Below are 23,143 nucleotides of genomic sequence, written 5' to 3'. Positions count from 1 at the left end.
TTTCTCTAGGCATTGATAGTCAAAAGCACAAAGCATTTATTACGCATTCAATCATGTAGCTAAACAAAACACTGAAGTCTCCTGAAGCCATTTAAACCAGCCGTTCCAAAACCTCCTGCCACCACTTTGATCTGTTAGTACCATCAAAAACTTTCCCAACTATAAATGAAATAATAAATGGTAGTGCTGCTCTCCAGACATTAGGCACTGCTCCATATCTTTGAACATTTGATTTTTTAGCTAATAACTGTGTCAAAAGCCTCAAAAAACCCTGAAATTAATTTGAAATTAATTAAATGAAATTAACAGAGCCAAGATTCAAGTCTGTTTTTGCAGAACTCTTGCCTTTTTTGTTTTTTTGAGATGGAGTCTCACTCTATTGCCCAGGCTGGAGTGCAATGGCACAGTCTTGGCTCACTGCAACTTCTGCCTCCCTGGTTCAAGTTATTCTCCTGTCTTATCCTTCCAAGTAGCTGGGATTGCAGGCATGCGCCACCATGCTCAGCTAATTTTTGTATTTTTGGTAGAGACGGGGTTTCACCATGTTGGTCAGGCTGGTCTTGAACTCCTGACCTCAGGTGATCCATCTGCCTCAGCCTACCAAAGTGCTGGGATTACAGGTGTGAGAAGCTCTTGCTCTTAACTACTATTTTATGTTGCCTCCCATCTCATGGGTACAAGAAAGATGTTTCTTGACTCCAGACCTTACTTCCCGACTGGAAAGCACTCTGAGGCCTGCCCCATTGTGGTTAGTGATGAATCTAGACAGTTTTCACAGACTCCTGGGGACTCTTAGTGGCCTGAATTTGCTACTAAGCTGTTCCCTTTTCTTATAGGAGACAGTAAGATCTATTTATTAAGCCTCCATGTAAGCATTATTCTCAGCATGTTACAGGCACTCTCTCTTTTTAAACCACCAGAGGTGGTTTCCTCTCTGTGGGAAGCAGTTACAGATTTTAAAACACAGACTTAGCAGCCAGATGGGCCTGGAATCACCCCTCCTCTGCCACTTAGTAGTCCTATGATATTGGCTGAACGACTTAACTTCTGTAAAGCCGTTTTTCCTCATTTCATAAGCGGTGGTTACAATAGTATCCACCTCACAGGACTGTGAGAAATTCATGAGTAAATTACATGTAAAGCTCTTAGTCCAGTGCTTAACTTGCAGCAGGTGTTCTAGAAATATTAACTATTATTAACCTGTTAGCCATTTTCTTACCAAATATGGTCATTTTCGTGGAGTTTTAATTATTGCTGTGCTAGACTGTGCTAGACACATAGTTTCTTTTTGTTTATATTTCCTGAGTTTTGGGCAGATCCAGGAAACATGAATAATTATCATCTTGATTTGAGCTCCCCATCCCCCCACCCCAACAAATAGGAAAAATATTTCAAGATACCAAAATAGACAAAACAGAAAAAAAAAAATGGGCTAGGTTAGGTATTTTAGGTAAATTAGTAATTATAACTATACCCAAATGAATATTAATTAACTGATTGATATAAACTCAGGCAGGGGAGTTGAAATCAAGAGGTCTAATGGTCCCACAATGCCACGTATTGGCCAAGTTATATGTGAGGTGATGTGCTCATGTCTCAGTGCCAAATTTTAAGTGAAATGTTTCTCAGCTAGAAAGCACTCAGAAGGTGTTGAGCAGGATGGGAGTGGATGGGGAAACTCGGCCATATCTAGTGTAGAAAAGAGAAGATTAAGACATAATAATAATGACAACCTTCAAATATTTCAAAATCTTTTAGAAAGAAATGAGGAATAGACTTATTCTGTATTTGCTCTGTAACACTATATAGCAATAATGTTTTTCAAACAGTAGTTGGTCACCCAATTGTGGGTCATGAAATCAGTTTAACGGGGTCCTGACCCGCATTTTAAATAAATGAAATAGAATATAATAGGAAATACCAGATGCAGCCGAATAAGAGTAATAGCTATTCCATGAAATTCTGTTTAATTATATTTATATTTGTATTTGTGTTTGTGGGTCTAAACATAAAATATATCCTTATGTTGGGTCATAATAATGATACAGGAGGAGGGCAGGGAAGTGCTGGGTAGAGAAGGGCGGGGTCCCTGGCAAGGGCTCCATCCTCGGGCCTGTGCCCACAAACCTAAATGAGGACAGGCATTTCTGTTTTTGCACCCAAAAAGCTGCTTTTGGCCTGCCACGCCCCCCATCCTGTGCCCATAAAAACCCGAGACCCTAGCGGGCACAGACACAAGCGGCTGGACGTTGAGAGGAGCAGAAGAGCACACCACCAGACACCATCCAACACTGCAGGCCATCGACAGCGGAATTTGGTTGGGGGCAGTCAGAGGAGAGTCTGGCTGCTGAGCAGCCTGACTCCAGCGGAAGGTCACATTCCAACTCCATCCCCTTTCTGGTTTCCCGTCCACCTCATTCAGAGCTACCTCCACCACTCAATAAAACCTTGCACCCATCCTCCAAGCCCACGTGTGATCCAATTTTTCTGGTACAATAGGGCAAGAACTCAGGATACAGAAAGCCCTCTGTCCTTGGGATAAGGCAGAGGGTCTAACTGAGCTGATGAACACAAGCGGCCTGCAGACAGCAAAACTGAAAGAGCACACTGTAACACACACCCACTGGGGCTTCGGGAGCTGTAAACAGTCAACCCTAGATGCTGCCGTGGGCTTGGAGCCCAAAAACGCTCCCCACAACCTGCCTGTCTGCATGCGGCCTCTAGGAGTTTGAGCAGCGAGGCACTGAAGAAGCGAGCCACGCCCCTGTCGCAGGCCCTGTGACGGGGATATGGGAACTCCTCCCATTTCAGTAAAATAAATGTTGGAAAGCTCTAGAAGGCAAAACATGGACAACTGTGTGTAAGAAACAGTAAGTCAGGTTTCAGCTCTCTATAAAGAAATCGTTATAATAATGATCACTGTGTAACAATAGACCAGGTTTTCTCAGGAAGCAGGAGCTCCTCCCCCACTCATACAACACCTGCTCAGAAGATGTTCTAGCAGAGGCTGAGTGATGGTGCATTAAGGAGGACGGCATTGGGTATTCCCTCCTATGAGGACACTAAGATGCTCTGACTCTCCAAAATGGAGTCGATCAGACATGAGCTTCTGCTAAAAGAAAGAATGGAAGAAAATCAAAACCTTAACATTCAGACCCCAGAAGCCATATAACCAGTCCAGGAGTAGGCAGTCTTCTGTGTTTATATATTGAGCACAGTGAAGCACGCATCAAATCCCTGAAGTTGTTCAGGATTTCTACTGTAGGAAGGGTTAATTTCAAGCATCCATTTTCTAACTGAGGTGATAAAATAATATGCATAGCAGCAATCAAGTCTCATCGATGTAAGCACCTAAATGGAGTCAAGTGGCAACTGAATACCTGGTGACATGGAACTGAGTCACCATTTATCACACCTACTAAGAGCAAGCCAAAATCCAATGCAAAGAGCAGAGCATCCCCAGATGTTGCTCCCACACCTAGGGCTGCCAGATGAAACACCAGTTGGATCTGAATTCAAATTATCTGTTTATCTGAAGATAAACAACAAAATATTTTAGTATTATGTGTCCAAAATATTGTAGTGGACATACTTATACTAAAAAAAATATTCACTGTTTATCTGAAATTCAAATTTGACTGGGTCTCCTGTGTTTTATTTCCTAAGTCTGGCAAATACCAACCTACCTACACTAGGTTATATCCCTAAAATTCCTTTAGTGGAGCCCTTAGTCTCTCATTTGGTAAACAGTGTGGAATGTCAGCTATAAGAAGCTGATAGTAGTAAAAAGCAATACTGATAAGGATGGAAAAAGGAGTGAAATGCAAGTGAGCATGGTGTAACAGCTTTGTCCCACTGAATACTACTGAGCCAAATTTAAGGACCTCTTAAGAGTAAGCAAAACAGACACTGTGAGGCATGAGGGTGTGGACAGCATTTGAGGAAGGAGATAACAAGGTTACAGTCCCACTTCGGAGCGTTCCCATGCTAAATCTGGGTTTGTATGGGAGAGAAGATTCAGCTTCATTCTTCTGCACTTTATTATTCAGCATTTGGTCACAGGGACCCCAGAGGAAGAGCTCACAATGGCTGCCGCCAGCTGTTCTGAGGCATACATGATGCCGTTCGGGTCACACTGTGATGGATGGATCTCATCTGGAAAGCCAGCCTGGCCTCTCCTTGACCTCCATGACTGAGTCGGGTTCCTCTTCTCTGGGGTCCCATGTCCCCCTTGCAGTCACCATATAATAACAACAATAATTGAAATTGCTCATAGAGTGCCAAATATGTGCTGGGCACTCTACATATATTATCTCACTTAACCCCTTCCAATAACCCTATGAAGTAGATATTTGCCTTCCCATATCACAGATGAGGAAACTGAAGTCCACAGGGGTTAGATCACTTGCCCAAGGTCATGCAGCCCATCAGTGCCCACTGGCCTGAAGGAGCTAGAACTCCACGTTGTAAATGTTCCTGTTAATAGATCTTTCTTCCCAATTAAGTTACCAGTTCTTTGAGGGAAGGACTGTGTCTCACTCACCTTCACATGCCTGAGCCTAGCTTGCAGTGTGTGGCAAGTTGTAGGCAGTATTGTGAGTGAGTCAAGCTAAGGTTTTGTAGTTAAACATACCTAGTCACAAATTAGGGTTCTGCCAAGAATCTGTTATTGAGAATCAGGAGTTTGGGTTCTAGTGACTTGCTCTGGAACTGAAGATGGTGGTTAGGAATCCTAGCAATAGAGAAGAACAGGGCTGGGTTTAAGCCCTGGCCCTACCACTTACCAGGTATGATTTGGCAAGTTATTTAACTTGTCTTAGCTTCAGTTCTCCATCTGAAAGATGAGGGAAGTAATAGTACCTGTCTTACAGGATTGTTTTAAGATGACTGACATAATGTTATAATCTAACACATGAAAAGCACTCAATAAATATTAGCTCTTTTTATTATAATGCATTTAATAAAGCTATTTGTAATTTATTTTCTTTTTCTATCTTTTTTCAATGTCAGCAAATGAATTAAGAGAGTAGAAACAAAATGGACTTCAGGGTAAGAAGCCATACTTGAGAGTGACAAGGCAAGGAGGGGAAGACAGGAAAAAAAAAAAAAAAAAAAGCAGGAAAGCAGTAGGATGAGAATAATATTTATTAGATGCTAGTCATTTTCAGGCACTATTCTAAATGATTTAAATGTGCTAATTCTTTTGATCCTAATCACCCGCCTACAAGATGGGAGGGGAACCAGTGGAGGGGGAGGTAGCCGGTGTTCACCTGAAGTTAACCCCCACCACAGCCAGACAGCGACATAAAACTGCCTGCCACACTCCTTAGTTCACAGCAAATACTCAGTCTGGAGTTGCCGTTTGAATTTGAGGGAAAATGACTTTTAGAGCTAGCAGGTAAATATTTTTATAAAAGGAGCCTAAAGTCTAACTCTCTGGCTGACCAACCACAAGAGCAACAATAATGGACATTTATTCATGGTCAACAGACAGTAAACAGCAAACCCTTGGGAGACAGACAAAGGAGCCCTGGCAGGTTTACAGATCCCAGCAGTAGACTATTGTACCCCACCCCACCGGCCCCAAACCCTGTATTTTCCACAGGATTCATTCCAGACCAGGTTTTGTACCCACATGTCCCTTCTGTGTTTTCTTAAGAACCTAAAGTTTCCAAAAGCTATTGACTGTTAGACAGCAACCTGAAAGCAGTCTCAGTGTCCACTCTTCCCAGTAATCTTTTAAAAAATCCCTGAGAAAAGGTTAATAAGTCTTACCATCAGGTGATCAGTAATCTTGTCCACTCTAGATTTGGGGGTACAAAGGTCACAGGGGGAAGAGAATTAAGCAGAAATAAATGTTTATACATATTTGACATTAACATAACCACACATATGTGCCATGGGGATAAATGTTCATAAGCAGGGGTCCTGTAAGGAGTGTATTTCCGCAGGCAGCAGGCAGCAAGAGACAGCAAACCATCCCTGAACATGTTTTCCCCATTTTGCCAAGGAACATTCTTTTTTTATCCCCTTTTATAATCTGACCTATTCCATTTTCTGGCAGAGAGCCCTAGGAAGGCAAGCACTGCCTTTTCTGTCCATATTCCAATATAAGATGGAAAAAGGAGGAGGGAGCAAGAGGAGGTGAGTGGGGGCTGAGGAGGGTGCAACTGACTTAGGAAAACAGAGACAGAAATGGAGGAGGGAAAGAAGAGAGTGAGAAAAGGAGAGAAACTGGAAAGGAGAGGGGGTGAGCAGGAGAGAGAGAGCAAACCATGAATATCAAATTAATTTAATGTGTCCACACTGGGCAAAACTGATTTGAGGAGTGTGAGAGTAATAAAAAACAAACAGGATAAATTCCACAATGATCATCCGGCAAGAATGTGCCCCAGAAACCATAATCATAGTATCCTTGAACAAATCACACTAGTAATTTATACACTCTTTAGACTCCCTTAGTGCTTAACAACTGATGAAATATCGTTTCTGGGGAGTCACGCTTGTGTTTAATTTTCAGGAATGAATGGCCACTCTTCCATTTATTTCTAGTAGAAACATCTTTTTGGCAGGGAAAATGCCCTTCCCATTTTCCTATGTGTGTGTGTGCGTGTGTGCACGTGTGTGTGTGTGTGTGTGTGTGCTGTGTGAATGCATGTGAGCATATATATGTTTTATCCCATTACTCCAGATCTCTTTCCTTGATCTTTTTTTTTTTTTTAGCCAAAGCAGATAACCATTTATCTTCAGAATTTATTGTCATTTTCCCCCTTCCTACTCCATTCTCTCTCCCAACTAGAATACCCTGAAATAAAACTCACTTCCTGAGCAATGTGTAATATCACTTTGCAAACCAATATTAGGGGAGTGGTGATCAATTTTACATTCAAGTTTGAGTCCACCTGCCCTGAATCGTCCTTTTGTATTCTCCTTAGGCTTCTACCGCCTCGCCCCAAATTGTGCTGCTGCAAAGGTTTCGTTTCTTTTAGAAATAGTATCAGCACTATTGGGAAACCAGGGGAGATTTCGTGTCCCAGGGACTCTGCTGCAATACATAGGAATGAATGGATGGAAAGGGCAGAAAGGGCAGGAAATAAATGAAGGAAGCAAAGAGGAGTTTTTATGGTTGTTGTTTCAGATCAATATTCAGATAATATTGATCATTATTTGGTGGTCTAAAAAATAAAAAAAATATATATATATAGTTTTGAGTGCCTACCAGTCATCTTTTGTTCAAGAAATACGTACTGAATATCCATGTATTGTACTGCCTGTCCCTGTGCTGGATACTTTAACATATTTATTCAATTCCCAATACAGTCTCCCTAGGAGGAGACCAACTTGTACATTCTCCTTCCTAGAAAACCGAAACTGGCTCTGGAGCCAGAGATTAGATGTTGAATCTAATCTTTGCCTCTAGCCAAACGACTCTGGGCAGATCCTTTAACCTCTCTGAGCCTCTGTTTCCTCCTTTAGAAAATGAAAATAATTTCATCTGCTTCACTAAGTTGTTCTGAGAATGAAATAAACTAATGTGCCCAACAAGATTAATCATGGAAAAGACTGAGTTACTCAGATTTGGGGAAGTGTAACAACGCTGAACTATTTTGTGATTGTTTTGTTGGAATAGGAGGCCAAACCACACCCCCGTGGTAGGGTGAGGTTTCCTGTGAAGGGAATTGAATTTTCCACTGTCAATCATCCTGAGAAAAAGTTAGCTCTCAGAAGCTGTGTTCAGGGCTTGAGGAGGAGGATGGCAGGATACATAGGCTTCTAAAGGGTGGAGAGATCTAGGGTACATCACGGGAGCAAGGCAGGGGATAGGGACGCCCCTGTCAGTTGGAGGCCAGCTCAAGGCTACGCACACGTAGCCCACCCAATCCCAAAACCTAGGACAGGTGTAGGCTTGTGTCGCAATCAGGAGGACCTGGGCCCACTCAGAGAGTGCACAGGAGAGTAGCATTCTCATCCCTGCAGCCAGGAGAGAGTAGGACCCTGGGAAACCAGTCAGGCTCTCAAGTAAGCAAAGGCCAAGCCTCCAAGTTCTGGTGTGAGTAGGGGCAGCAGCAGCAACAGCCAGTGTCAAGTGGAGAAGAGAGGGCATGGAGCAATTATCACGGTGTTCACGGGTCTCAATATGGTGTTTCTGAATCCCAGCTCCCCTGACAAGACACTAGAGCAGCCAGAACTGACTCTGTGCATGCAAATAAGCACCACCTAAGGATTCCTGGACCATAAAACTGCAGGGTGGCCTTTAAAAAGACTCCATTTCTTAGTAAGATGGGCAGGCAAATGCTTGGAAATTGTTATATTTGGGGGTACCACTGTGGGTAACATGACCCAAGCCATAAGCTGAGTACAATGGTTATATGTATAAAGTACAAAGTGCCTGACACAGTAGGTGAATCTAGCCTGGTTCCTGTCTCCTTTTTCATCCCCATAAAAATGAGAGGGAGGAAACTTTACATTTGTCTTAGAACAGATTTGTTCAAAAGTCTTGAATCTCAACCCATCCTTCTGAAACAGGATAGGGAAGAGGAGATAAGTGACAGTATTATTTAACTTATATGCCAAATCTTTCAGAAAGCTTTGACCATACTTGGAGGTATCAGACAGAAAGACATTTAATGGTGGTTACTACAATCAGGCATTTCTCACATAATGCATTTAATCCTCACCACCATGGGCTGCGGTCAGTACTATTATTATCCCCATTGTATCAGTCAGCGTCCTATCAGGAAATAGATGGTATGTGCAAAAGGAGTGACTGAAGACAGTCTAATGAAGCAACTATTTACAAAAGGGTTAAAGGAAAACAGCAAATGATGATGAAGCACCCTGGGGCTAGTCACTATGAGGAGCTGCTACCATCCCTGTGATGGTTAGTTTTAGGTGTCGACATGACTGAATTCAGGGATACCTAGAGAGATGACAATGCATTATTTCTGGGTGTGTCTGTGAGGGTGTTTCCAGAAGAGGCTGGCATTTGAGTAGGTAGACTGAGTGGGGAAGATCTGCCTTCAATGTGGATAGGCACCATCCAATTGGCCGGGGGCCTGGATGGAACCAAAAGGGCTGAGGAAAGGCAAATCCTTGCTGTCTCTTCAAGAGCTGGGACGCTCTTCTTCTGCCCTTGGACATCAGAACTCCAGGTTGTTTGGGTTTTGAACTCCAGTACTCGCACCAGTGGTTACCCAGGTTCTCAGGCCTTTGGCCTTGGGCTGAGAGTTACATCATCATGTTCCATGGTTCTGAGGATTTCAGACTTGGACTGAGGCTCACCATGGCTTCCATGGTTCCCCAGCTTGCAGACAGCCTGTCACGGGACTTCTCACCCTCCATAATCACAAGAGCAGATTCCCCTAATAAATTCCCTCTCATCCAACTATACCTATATATATCCTATTTGTTCTGTCTCTCTGGAGAACCCTAATGCAACCCATAAGCTGGAAGAGGAAGTTATCAGAATCCAGCAAGACAAGATGCTATAAGAGAAGGCCATTCTATAGTTATGTGCAGCAGAATCACACAGCCATATTGTCCCACAGCTTGATGGGAAGGAAGTAGGTACACTGAGTTCTCTTTCTTACCACCCTCCTGTATCCTGCCAGTGCTTCTTATTGGTCAAATACAACAGGAATCCAGGTGATGCATTCCAAAAGGTAAGTGTTTCAGAGCACAGAGAAGAGTGATAAAGGATGGTAAGTGGGTCTGGAAAAGCATCAGAAAATAGTACATGATTTTAAAGTTTAGGAAAAGAAGATACAGATTAAGTAACTTGTCTATGGTCATAAAGCAAGTAAGAGGTGGAGCTAAAATTCATCACTCAGTATGGCTTGATACCCATGCTCTTAACCACTAAGATGTGCTTCCTATAACTTGTTAGGAAGATTGCTAGTCATCCAGCATCTCTTTCTCCCTGTACCCTACCCAGCTATTCTCTGATAATAGACTCCATCCTATCCCCACCCAGTTTTCCCAGTCTTCCTGGAACTGCGGGTAGCCACGTGACTAAAGTTCAGGCCAATGGAATATAAGTGAACACCATTAGATGTGTGCAGCTTTCAGGTTGTGCCCACCACTTTCCTTCTCCCTCGTCTATGGACTAGAATGCGGATGTGATAGTAGAAGCTGAAACAGTCACCTTGAACCACTGCATGGAAATTACTTTTGAGGATATAGTGCACCCTGAAGCCACCAGATCAGCACTGGACTGTTCATGCTCTAAGTTAAAAAGAAATAAACTTACATATTGTTTAAGTAACTGTCATTTTGGCCTTTGTTATAGCAGCCCAACCTATATCCTAAATAATACCAAGACCAAGCACCCACATGGCCCAAATGAGGCTCAGTCATAATGGTTTGAGCAATAAGAGAAATACGACTGGTATAGTCAGCTAGTGATCACCAATGTGTGTCTTCTCCTCTTTTTCCTGGCATATAACTAGACTACATTTTTCCACCCCACCCCATTCCATCTGGGTGAGGCTGTAAGACTAGTTCTTACCCTTGGAAAATGAGGAGAAGTGAGTATTTTGCCTCCAGGCTGAGGCAATCAAGGGTGAACATTCTTGCTCACCTGATTCACTTACCTGACAAATGGATGCAAACATCACTGAAAGAATCTGAGCCCCTAGAAGATGGTAAAGCCAGGAAACGGAAGAAGCCAGGGTCCTTAATGACACATGAAGCACAGCCCTCTGACAACTCTACATTTGACCATTGCACAAGCACGAAACGCAGTCTTCCTTGTGTTAAGCCACTGACACTGGGGTTTAGCCTATCCTGACTAAGGCATAAACACTGTGATCCAGAGCTGCAATCTCATCCCATATTTTTGGAGGACAAGGGGGTAGGAGGAGACTGGGAAATATTTAAGTTATTATTTTAAAGAAGTTATACAAATGTCATAATTTGTCCTAATAAGACCCAGCATACATCCTGCCTGAATGAGGAAGGCCAGAATAGCACAAGAAAACACTTTCTCCTTGCATATTGGCCCTCAGGGGAGTTAGCCCTGGTGGCTCCCAAGAATGCTATTCTCATGACACACTCCTCTCCTGGCACTCATAGGCCAGTTCACCAGGTCTGAGCAGAGACAGCACCAACTGAGCTCCTTGAGGCATGCCAGAGGGTCAAGCAACCCCAAAGGGCAACAAATTATGAAAGGTTAAGAAAACAAGGAACCAGTTTGCTTGTGGGTGGTGAGAGTGAGCTCCCCCACCTATTCTTTCTAAAGTCCAGATTTTCTAAAATAAGCACATACTGCTTTTATACTAAAAAACTAAAGTTTAAAAATTGGACTTTCAAAACTTCAAGTTTTAAGAAAGATAAAAAATAAGCTGGATAAGCCCCAGGAATAAACATAGGAGATAGAGGTCACAGAAGAAAGGATCCAGTCCTCAAGGCACTGTTACAACAAGCAGAAAGGCCAGTCTTAGAGATATACAACTGAAAAGATAAAGTGTCTCACGGGTCACACCCTCACTCCGTCATTCAACAAATATTTACTGAAGATTAACTTGTGCTGGGCACTGTGCTGGCTGCTAGATTTACAAAGAAGAATAAGGTGGCCACAGTGTAGCGCAGTTGTTCACAATCTTAGCTGCACATTGAAATCACTTGAGATGTGATTAAACCCAAGCAAACAAACAAAAAAACACAATAACATTGATGCTTGGGTCCACATGCCAGAGATGTGGATGTAATCATTCAGGATTGGGAACTGGTCTCAGGACTTATAAAAGCTCCTCCTGATTCTAATGTGCAGCCAAAATGGAAAACCACCAGGAGGACATGACACATGGGATTAGGGTTGAAGGCTAGATAGGAGCAAGCCAGGGGAGAAAGGGAGAAGGGGGAAGAGGGGCATCCAGGTGGAGGAAACCAAGCTGAATGTAGAGGATTGCCCCATAGTTCCATACAACTAGAATGTCATAGTGGGTATGAGTGATGCAGGTTATGGCGTTCCTCCTATGTCAAACCAAATATCTATCCTCCAGGTAGAGGAGAGTCAGTCAAGGTTATTCACAGGGCAGACATGGTCACATCTGGGTTCATCCAACTCTCCACACATCCTTTCTAACCCTCTCAGATGACCGTAACTTCTAGCTATGCATGGAACTACCGAAAGGCTATGGAAAGGTGTGGGCTTTGCCTCCTCAGAAAATGGTACCACCATCTCAAGAAAGAAAGCATATTTCTTGACACTCCATCATGACACTTCAATACAGCATTCATCCAGAGACACACCCCTTTCTCTACTGCCTTTTAAAAAATCCCCTTTTTGGTGACTTAATTTTATTATATGATCTTGCTGCAACACTGAGAATCAATCCCCCAAGGAGCCAATAGTTATTCATTTGCAGACTGATATAAAAATTCAAAGGTGGAATGGACTATCAATCATGAGGCAAAAAAGTAGTGGAACTATCACCAAAACCTCAGATGGAAAACCATTCCACATGTGGCTCCAGGGACGAATCACTAAATAATTCCACTGACCTAATCACCATTCCTGACTACCTCCTTTTGGAGACTAGGTAAGTTGTAGAGAAGCTTCCAGAAATAAAAACCGCTTGATTAGTAGGTGGGATAACTGGTAAAAGCTATTTTATCCTTCAATCTTGGGAAATAAGTATGTTTTAAATGAATAATAATAATAAAACAATAAAATAAAAGCACTTCCTGAATTCCAAGCACATTCAATACATGGACTTTACATACACCATTTACCATATCCACGCAAGGTCCCAGTTGAGTTGATTAAATAACTGAGGCTTAAAGCAGCTTAATCACCTGCCCAAGGTCACAAGAAACTGCAAGAGAATTCAAACTAAATTTTTAGGACTTCTGTGATGACACAACATAATAAAAAATATACATATATTTGGTTTTCATCCCTGGTTCTCAGCACAGAGCTCCTAAAACCCTTGAAATTTCCTGAGTGATAGAGGTGATAGGAGCATCTTTTTTTTATTCATAATAAATACCTTTTAACCATACCTGAGTTTATGCTAATGAGATAACTGGTGGCTGAAAGTCCTTAGCTTCAGGTTGGGGGCTGGTTGTGGGAAGAACCAACCATATTATTAAAAGGTTGGAATTCAATTAGAACACTTGGACACAGAGTGGGGAACATCACACACTGGGTCCTGTCGTGGGGTGGGGGGATGGGGGAGGGATAGCATTATGTCATAATGTCATAATGTATGGGGGATGGGGGAGGGATAGCATTGTGTCATAATGTAAATGACGAGTTAATGGGTGCAGCAAACCAACATGGTACATGTATACCTATGTAACAAACCTGCATGTTGTGCACATGTACCCTAGAACTTAAAGTATAAAAAAAAAAGTTTGTTAGCAGGTCAAGGAAAATAAAGATCAAGAGCCAAGGAAGGCATTCCCTGGGATAAAGATAATAAATTTCAACAAATCAACACTAAAAGTAACTTTATAATATTGATTTAAAAATTTAAAAAACCATATTTCTTCAATGCTAAGGTGTCATCTTTTCACATTTTAATATCATAGATATAATAGCTAACATTCATCTTGCACTTACTTTGTACCAGGTTCTGTTATGTGTGCTTTACATGTGCTGACTCATAGAATATGGGATATTTCATGGAGTGAAAAATTTCATCTTTTGCTCTCTGAAAAGTTGTTATTAAACCAATGTTACAAATTTAAACTCCATGACTGTTTAGAATCCAGGAACCATTGTAGGTGCAGAAATAAATAGTGCTTACAGATATACATTAACAAAAATTACATTGAGGAAAAAAAAAGTTGGAATTTCCAGCCCACCGACCTATTCTCCCCACTTCCCCACCTACTACCCCTCCACCCTGCCACACACATACCTGACCTCTGGGGAGGGGAAAGGGACTGGGGATTGAGTTAATCACCCATGGCCAATGATTCAATCAATCATGCCTAATGGAACATCCATAAAAACCCTAAATGAGGAGGTATGGAGAGTTTCTGACTTAGTGAACCTATCCATGTGCCAGGAGGGTGGTGCACCCCAACTCTAAAAGGACAGAAGCTCCTGTGCTTTGGACCCTTCCAGACTTCACCTTTTGCATCTCCTCATCCAGCTGTTCATTTATATCCTTTAAAATAACCTGGTAAACATAAGCATAGTGCTTCCCTGAGTTCTCTAAGCTATTAAAGTAAATTATAGAAACCAAAAGAAGGTTGTAGGAAGCCCTGATTTGTAGCCAAGTTAGACATAAGTGTGGGTAATATGTGGACCCACCACTTGCCGTTGATATCTGAAGTGGTAGATAGTCTTGCAGGACTGAGCTCTTAACCTATAGGGCCTGTGCTAACTCTGGGTAGTGGTAAAATTTAATTAAATTCTAGGACATCTGGTTGGTGGCTGCAAAATATTTAAGAATTACTTGGTGTGGAAAACCCACACATTGGGTGTCAGAAGTATTGTGAGTACAGGCCAGGCACAGTGGCTCACGCCTGTAATCCTAGCACTTTGGGAGGCCGACAGAAGAGGGCAGATCACCAGAGGTCAGGAGTTCGAGACCAGCCTGGCTAACATGGCAAAACCCTGTCTCTACTAAATTTCCAAAAATTAGCTGGGCATGGTGGCGGGCACCTGTAATCCCAGCTAGTTGGGAGGCTGAGGCAGGAGAATAGGTTGAACCCAGGAGACAGAGGTTGCAGTAAGCCGAGATCATGCCATTGCACTCCCATCTGGGCGACAGAGCGAGACACCGTCACAAAAAAAAAAAAAAAAAAAAAAAAAGAAGTATTGTGAGTAGAGAAATAATTTTCTTTTAACTTTGCTCTGCTTCTTCTTATATTCCGGCCAGGAGTGAACCTGTGCTCATCTGTGCTCCCGAAAGAATGGCTGCTTGACAAGCTCATCAACTGCTGTAAAAGGCATTTTTCCTGCTGTGTGTCTAAGAAAAGCACCAAAAAACCACCATGACTCTTTCCAAGGGAGAAATGACAGCTCCGTCTTTGACCTGAATAGCATGAAAACAAGGCAGTCTGATCCAGAGAGCTGCCCTGTCATGGAGAGAATAACCCTTGGGGACACCAAGTACCCAAACAGCACAGCACATGAATATAAACAATGAATACCCAATGGCTATAGGCCTCCTTTGGCTTACAGCCCCTCACAGCACTTTAAGAGGTGAAAATAGAACTGGAAGACGCCTTAGGGATCCCCGGGCACAACCCCCGCTTTTTGCAGATAAGGAAACTGAGGCTAGTTAACATGTCTATTAAAGAAGCTGGAGCAGGGTGAAAGCTAGAACCTTGATCTCAAACTCTCAGGCTTCTGTTTTATTTTCTCTATCACCCTGCAAGCCCAGATCCCAGAAGGGAACCCCATGGTTCCCATCACGCTGCTATAGACTGAATATTTATATCCCCTCAAAATTCATGTATTGAAACCTAATCCTCAATGTGATGGTATTTGGAGGTGAGGCCTTTGGGAAGTGATTAGGTCATAAGGGTGGAGCTCTCACCAGAGGGATTAGGGCACTTAGAAAAGAGACCGCAAGAGCTCCCTGGCCCTTTTCTGCCATGTTGAGGACACAGTGAGAAGATAGACATCTATGAACCAGGAAGCAGGCCCTCACCAGACACTGAACCTGCCAGTTTCTTGATCTTAGAATTCCCAGCCTCCAGAACTTGTGAGAAATAAATTTCTGCTGTTTACAAACTACCCAATCTGTTTTTGATATAACAACACAAATGGACTAAGACACACACTCTAATCTCCTCATGAGAAACTGGGCTTTTACCATAGGGGAGCTGAAGAGAAAAAAACATTGTTTTTTATTTTCTACTGCTAATTTGAAAGGATACTCATATTTATCAGTGCCTCATGGGGGCAGTCCAGTCTGTAAGTCCCAGAGGGAGATATGGAGATGAAAAAGGGTCAAATACCTGGGCCTTCCTGAAGCACAAATCATTCTGTGAAGGCAAACAATTTAGTAGTTATACAGTCTGATTTCCCAGAGCAAGCAATGCTCATCCTACCATTGCTTATGTTTATGTACAATTTAAGAGGACCAAATGGCTTCGTCGCACTGTGGAGTGTCAATGCTGGTGTCATTAACATACAATTATACATGCGTGGAGCAGATCATCGAGTACCTGTCCTCTTAATAAATCACATCATGAAAAGCTATGGTTTAGATGTCACTTTCATTTCATAAAATGATTCACCACAGTATGTCTTAAAAGCTAGTTTTGCTCATGCATTTAGTCTACAATTCCACTGATAGAGATGTGATTGCCTCGCAACTTGTCAGAAACACATCCTCTGAATAAAACATGGTACTCCTCCCAGCCACAGAATGCCAACCTTGATCCAGATCTATTTTGGGCGCTTGGCTCCTAGAAATGAATGAAAGTCGTTGTTGAGGTGGAATTTTGCTTCAGGTCCTGTGGGACTTGATGAGGACATTCTTCCCAGCACAAGAAGCTGACCAGGGACAGGGTGCCACAGCTGAGTGTGTTACTGAGGATAAACATATTTAAACCGCTGTTTGTGGACAGTTCCCCTCCTCCTTTACTGTCAACATATATCATAAAATAAATCCTTTCATTTCATCTTAGGAAGGCAAGATATTCAGGCTAGTGATGAAAGAACAGTAAGGAGAGACTTGATAGCCCAGACCAGTAGCAGCTAAACTAACCTTGAAAGCAGAAGAAAAAAAAAAGAGAGCCACTAAGCCACCGAGTGAGAATGGGTGGCAGGAAGAGTTAGAGAGATCCTGCCCATTCGCATTTCCTTCTCTTCACTCTCTCTTCAGCCTGTCTCTTGACAAGAGTGTCCCGGTTCACCCATCGCAAATCTCCACTTACCATGACAGGCATGAGGATGGAATGTCCTATCTCGAGACACCTACAGGCTAACTGAGGAATAGAAATCAGGGAGGGAAGCAGCTCCTAGGTCTTACAGTTTAATGATTACACCGCCGTTTTCAGCCCCTGACTTCATTAAATTCAGGGTAAGGACGACCCACACGACGTCCTTCTCGTGCCAGGTACTTGGCAAGTCAGAACCAGTCGCCGCTGTGTCCTCCCGGCAAGATGAGCGCAGGTTTCAGAAGCCCCAGCTCTGGAAGTTTGCTGTGCCAGGCTCCTCGGAGCAGCACCACTGCCCCAGACGAACACGCACACACACGCACTCACACACACACACACGCACACGCACGCACACACACACACACGCACGGCTCATTGGACACTTGCCCTGCCACCCCCGAAAGCACAGCGCCGAGGAAAGGCCGGTTCCGGCCGCGAAGGCAGCAGGTGTCCCCTGACCCTTTCCCTCCGCCCTCCAACCCCAGCCCCATCCCTAGCTGAGTTCCTATGGACGCCCCCCAAACTCGCAGTTCTCGGGCAGAATTGCGACCAAGAAATAAAAGACAAAATGAGCAGACTTACCTAACTCGTCTGGGCTGTAGGATGCGGGCGAGGCTTCCACAAACTCACTGTCTGGGGGAGAAGAAAAGCAGAAAACAACTCGAATCGCTACCATTCAGGACGAACCCGCACAAGCACCAGCTCAAGCGCAGGTCCCCGGGAAAAGCGCGGGCTTCTCTCTCCCAGCGCTCAGAATCCCTGAGCCGGAGGCCCCGCGGGATTCAGACCGCCAGATCCCCAGGGAGTGACAAATCGCCGCAGAAACTTGGGGGACAACTCGGCCCTGGCACCGCGCGGCTTCCAGGCGCGGTCAGGCGCGCGCCAACTTTCCCCGCGTGCCACCCCGCGGCTCCCCCGGCCGGGCGCTGGGCCGCGGCCGCATCCTCTGCCCTCAGCCCGCGGGGCGCATTGCTCTGTCTGCCGGGCCTGGCGCCGACGCCCCAGCGCCGAGGAGCCGCGAAGTTTTCCCGCGGTCCCGGGGGCCCGAGGGCGCGCGGCGGCGGCGGCGAGCACCCCTCGCCCACCCAGGCGCCCCGCGCATCCCCGCTCGTTGCTAGGCGACCGTGGCCGTCACGCTCCGCAGAGGCGCGCGCGGCCTCCCAACTCCCGGCTGGCGGAATCCTCCCTAGTCCCCGCCCCGTTTGCCCATTTTCCAAAAAATCAGAGCATAACCCGTTCTAACCCGATTCCCTGCTCTGTTATGTTATGTCTGCCCTCCTCTGATGCTTGGGAAATCGTTTGTTCTGTGGGCTTCTCCTGAGGAGATGGACGATTTTCAGAGCTTGCAGAAAGGTAGGAGGAGACCCAAATGCCCCCCAATCCCCTCCTTTTGGAACCAGAATTCCAACTCCAGTCCAACATTATTTCCTACTCTTCAAGAGATCACCTGGCTCAAGTGGGCAAAGTAATATGAGCTGCATTGCACAGGTTGGGAAACCGAGGCTGAGAAGTTGTTAATTTATGCGTGACATCATTATGGTAGGGGTATGTGAGGGAGAAGTGGGGGAGGAGAGAAGAGCAGTGCTCCTTCTACTCTATAAAAGATTGACTGCTTTCAAATACAGAATGTAGAAGCAATGGTTATGCTCTGAGAACTGTAAATTCTAAAATAATTAATGTAACACTGTGAGAACCTCCCCCTCTGAGTCAGTAGCCTGATAACTTGGACAGATGTGTTATGTATCTCCCCCCAGCCCCCAGGACTGACTGTGACTGCTCTGCATTAAGGGGGCGAGGGTGCTGGACTTGGGGTGTGCTCCAGAGAGAGCCCCGCAGCTGATGGCCCATAACAGGGTCAGTGGGAAGGAAGGAACAAGTATGGAAATGGTTGTCCTTTCTCCATCCTTGGAGGACTATTGGAGGGTCAACAGTCTGGGCAGCCTCCTGGGGGCCTTCTATTGTCTCAAAGTGATCAGAGCACCAGCTGCAGCAGCCTAAGGGCCCCGATCTGAGCCAATGTGCTCTCATCCTGTAAACACTCAGCCATCTCTGGCTTTTCCACTGTCAGTTTTTGGTTTACAAATCACCATGAAGGACAGAAAGCCCCTTCGGCCAGCATTGCTTAGGGAGCCCAGGGAAGCAGGGGTGGGGCTGTCCTCCCCAAGCAAGGCAGCATTCTTGAGCTGCTGAGCCTATCTCTCCAACCTCTTCTTTTTCCTGCTTCTTATAATCTGAGCTCCCAAATCCAGGAATTAAATATGTTTGGGTGAGGGTTTGCACTCATCACTCCATCCCCTCCCAACTCCTAGAATCCTCCCATTTGTCCTCTGGAACTCATGGTTCATCGCTAGCAAAATCTATATATCCTCAGCCTCCTCTCTGAATGTTTCTTTCAGTGTTGTGCTCTGACCCATACCTGGCTTTCCTTGAAAATAACAGGCTGCATTACTTGCCTCCTCTACTTATTTCAGCCATCTATGGATCCTCTGGTTGTTCTACCTCATTTCTTGAAGATAATGGCATCTGATTCACTGTCACTTTTCCCAGTATCATTCCTGTGATTATTCTTATTTTTCTCCATCTACATAGTCACACTCTGATCTCTCAACTCTTCTGCATCTTATCCCTTTCTTGACCTGCTCCAACCACACCAGCCCCCTGCTGTCATAGCGACACCATGCATAATATCAAGGTGAAGTAATCCACTCTCCTACCTTTCCAGCTTATCCCCTCTGTTATTTTAATCCAATGTGTCCTTGACCCCACCAGCATCTATAATTTACTTATCCATGACCTTTTCTCTGCCCCTCACTCTCCTCATGACCCTCCTTCCTTCCTTATGGACTTTAGTTTCCAGTTTCATTATTATTTCTCTCTTACTTACACCTTCAAATCCATGTTCTGCTCTCTTTCCATGCTATTTACCTGGTGAAAACACAACCCTAGTAAAATATAACTCTCCACCTTCTTTCCATCTACACCCAGCTAAACATGATTGAAGAAGCACAAAATTGGCTGGGCATGGTGGCTCACATCTATATTTCCAGCACTCTGGGAGGCTGAGGTGGGTGGATCACCTGAGGTCCTGAATTTGAGACCAGCCTGGCCAACATGGTGAAAACCCATCTCTAGTAAAAATACAAAAATTAGCCAAGTGTGGTGGCACATGTCTGTAATCCCAGCTACTCAGGAGGCTGAGGCAGGAGAATCGCTTGATACCAGGAGGTGGAGGTTGCAGTGAGCAGAGATCACGCCATTGCAGTCCAGCCTGGGTGACAGAGCAAGACTCCGTCTCAAAAAAAAAAAAAAAAGCACAAAATTATGCTCTCTGGTCTTATTTTCGATTCATGTCCACTAAAATCAAATGGAGCTAGTGCAGCCCAGCAATCACTCTGCATTTGCCTGTTTATTTACTCTCCCGCTCTCTTGTTGCTATGGATGAATCATCTAAGGCCATTATGGCCTCCTGTATGGATCAGATCCCATTTATGTGGCTTTTCCCTCTTCCCACCTGGATTAATATTTTCTTCTGTCCTTGATCACTCCTGTCAGTATACAGACATACTACTATGATCCTGTCTTTTTAAAAATCCTTTCTTGACTCTATGTATCTCCAGCCATTACTCCAATTCTCATCTCCCCTTTACAACAAAATTCATTAAAATAATTGTCTACACTGATAGCACCCATTCTCCATTTTGCTCTTACAAGCAGCCTAAATAGGTTTCTACCTCACTCTGCCAGAGTAGCTCTTGTCAAGGTCAAGAATGGCTTTGCCATTGCCAATTCCAATTATCAGTCCTAGATCCTAACAGCAGGTTTTGACCTGCTGATCTTATGAGTGGATGGGCTCAGATGGGCTGTCTGCAGAATCAGTCTCCTCTGGTTTCCCATAGAATCAAGCAAATAACATTTGTGTCTCAAGAGAGGTGACCTATAGAAGGCCTTGGGATCAGCCAGACCTGGGTTCTAATACCTGTTCCAATACTAGCTAGTAACTTAATTTCTTTCAGCCTTAGCTTTGTGTAAACATGGAGATAATAATCATACCTAGCATACCAATGTGGTGAGAGTGCAATAAACTAATGCACTTGGAGCCCCTAGGAGAGAGAGTGTCACACTGTAAAAGTCAAATAAACATTAGTTATTATTGGATGCCATGCTCCTTTACAGCTGACACAAATGGACTCTTTTTATCCCTTAACAATTTTGAGTTACTAAAAGAAGATATTAACCACAGAGTATGTTTACATTAGAGGAATGTTCGTTGTCTCCAACTTTTAGTTTGCATTCCAAGAGTTGGCTTGAAGGCTGGTTACTTGGAGCTGGCAACAGGTTTACCCCTATGAAGAGCGTTGCCAGTGCTCCACAGGGTGATTAGGTTCTGGAGCCTGCCAAACTGTTCTCACAATGGACTTGCCTTCAATTTGTTCATATAAATGGATGACTTGTAAACTAGGAACTATCCTTACAACATTTTAGTTATTTGAATTTCCTAATCAACTGAGGGTTAATGAGAAAACATTTCTCTTGTTTCAGTATTTGCTGTTGAAAATTCTCTAAAGTCAATGATTCCAATTTTCTATCTTAGGAAGTAGAATAGAGCCAACAATAATGTTTCATATTAATTAAACAAACATTTATTGGGAATTTACCATGCTTCCAGCGCTGTGCAAGGCACTGCAGACACAGAGATGATCAGTGCCCTTCTAATAAGGGATTCCATGACAGACCTTATTGAATCTCAGGGCAATGTCCAAAGTGCCTACCCACACTTGACTTTTATAGGTCTCTTATAAAGAAATGGTTCTGCTGGAGTGTCACTGAGTTATAATAAACAGTGCACAAGTTTACGGATTTGCATCTCAGCTCTGTGAATATTGGGTGGCAGGCATTTTCAGTTTCCTAACAATAATACATACCTCACTGGATTGTTAGGAGCAGCGAAATAGGTAAGGTATGAGACAGACCAGGCACAGTGTCTAGCACACATAGGTACATAATAAATATTCATTTTCTGGCTGGGAATGGTGGCTCATGCCTGTAATCACAACACTTTGGGAGGCAGAGGCAGGTGGATCACCTGAGGTCAGGAGTTCAAAAGCAGCCTGGCCAACATGGTGAAACTCCATCTCTACTAAAAATACAAAAATTAGCTGGGTGTGGAGGCAGGTGCCTGTAATCCCAGCTACTCAGGAGGCTGAAGCAGGAGAATCGCTTGAACCCGTGAGGCAGAGGTTGCAGTGAGCAGAGATTGTGCCATTGCACTCCAGCCTGGGTGACAGAGTGAGATTTCGTCTCAAAATACATACATACATAAATAAATGTTCATTTTCTTCCCACATAGAGGGCTAGAGCATGCCAGATTGCTCTCCTTTTCATCCCAGGTGGCAGGTGGGCCTCCTGCTGCCATGGCCCCAGCAGACAGCAAGAGGGAGTCCCTGCCCCTGTTTCTAGGGAAGCATATTTATTAGAGGTGGGACGTATGGGGAGGAAACGACAAGGTGGAAATATTTCTGGAGCTCAAGAGGAAGTTTACCATAGAAACAGATTATACAGGGGCCTGGTGTCTAATGGTCACTGTTACTATTGCCATGATATATCGTGAGTTGATGGGCTTTTGGGAGCTGGCCTGGGAACCCAACTCCTAACTCTAATGTTCTTTCTTTCCTTATATTATTGTAAATGTTTTAATTTTATTTTTATAATATAAACAAATAAAATGTGTTTGCTGTAAAGGAAAAAACATTTGGTATAGATGAGTATAAACTGAAAAATAAAAGTCTCCTTTCCTGTCCTCTCCTAATCTCCATCCGCAAACTAAAAACCATCCACAACTTCTTATGTGTCCTAGTAGGAATTTTTAAGGCATATTCAAATGTGTATACGAATTGTTTAAACAAGTTGGATATTATTATTATGGATTCCAGATTAAAGGCAAAAATTTCTAAATGAAATTTTGCTCCACTCCCAAACATAAGCTGGGGTATGACTGTTTTCTGTTTAGGAAGGCAAGAAAGTATATTAAAAAGTCATAGAAGAAAAGTCTTATCAACCATTAGAAAACAGTAAAATCTTAAACAAAATTTAAGTGTTTAAAGGGTAACACATAACGCTTCAGTTATCTGGAAAACTCAATCAGCTCCCTCGTTCCTCAGTAAATGAGGTATGGTTATATAGCAACACTGGACATAATGCCAGGATCAAAGGAAATCTTAGCTGCATTTCTAGAGCTAAGAGCACACTCTACATACTTTTTTGGGGGTACAATGCCCATCACAGATATTCTGCT

General features: G+C 43.8%; 1 protein-coding gene and 1 long non-coding RNA gene across 7 annotated transcripts in view, besides 1 other annotated feature; one reads left to right on the top strand and one right to left on the bottom strand.

Annotated features, from left to right (window-relative positions):
• The window catches only part of AMOTL1 (angiomotin like 1), a 170,289-nt gene that overhangs the window by 118,327 nt on the left and 28,819 nt on the right, over nucleotides 1-23,143 (bottom strand). For 3 of the 4 annotated variants that reach the window (XM_005273798.5, XM_011542626.3, XM_006718772.4), the window contains exon 3: nucleotides 17,434-17,484. In XM_005273798.5, coding sequence (XP_005273855.1) covers nucleotides 17,434-17,484 — 51 coding nt within the window. Of the gene's footprint in view, nucleotides 1-17,433; nucleotides 17,914-23,143 lie in introns of those variants that run through there. The other variant, XM_047426452.1, reaches the window with a different exon arrangement.
• Nucleotides 7,285-7,579: a silencer, noted in NCBI's record as "tiled region #14517; HepG2 Repressive non-DNase unmatched - State 23:Low". NCBI's record gives its function as "represses a minimal TATA promoter and a strong SV40 promoter by Sharpr-MPRA in HepG2 cells {active_cell/tissue: HepG2}" and the evidence as "EXISTENCE:reporter gene assay evidence [ECO:0000049][PMID:27701403]".
• PIWIL4-AS1 (PIWIL4 antisense RNA 1) overlaps nucleotides 18,067-23,143 on the top strand; it is a 195,024-nt gene continuing 189,947 nt past the window's right edge. For all 3 annotated transcript variants that reach the window (NR_135093.1, NR_135094.1, NR_135096.1), the window contains exon 1: nucleotides 18,067-18,204. This is a non-coding gene — a long non-coding RNA (PIWIL4 antisense RNA 1). The remainder of the gene's footprint in view (nucleotides 18,205-23,143) is intronic.

Source organism: Homo sapiens, chromosome 11, assembly GCF_000001405.40.
Source record: "Homo sapiens chromosome 11, GRCh38.p14 Primary Assembly".
NCBI lineage: Eukaryota > Metazoa > Chordata > Mammalia > Primates > Hominidae > Homo > Homo sapiens.
The sequence above is the reverse complement of the archived record's forward strand: the minus strand, read 5'-3'. Positions and strand labels throughout refer to the sequence as shown.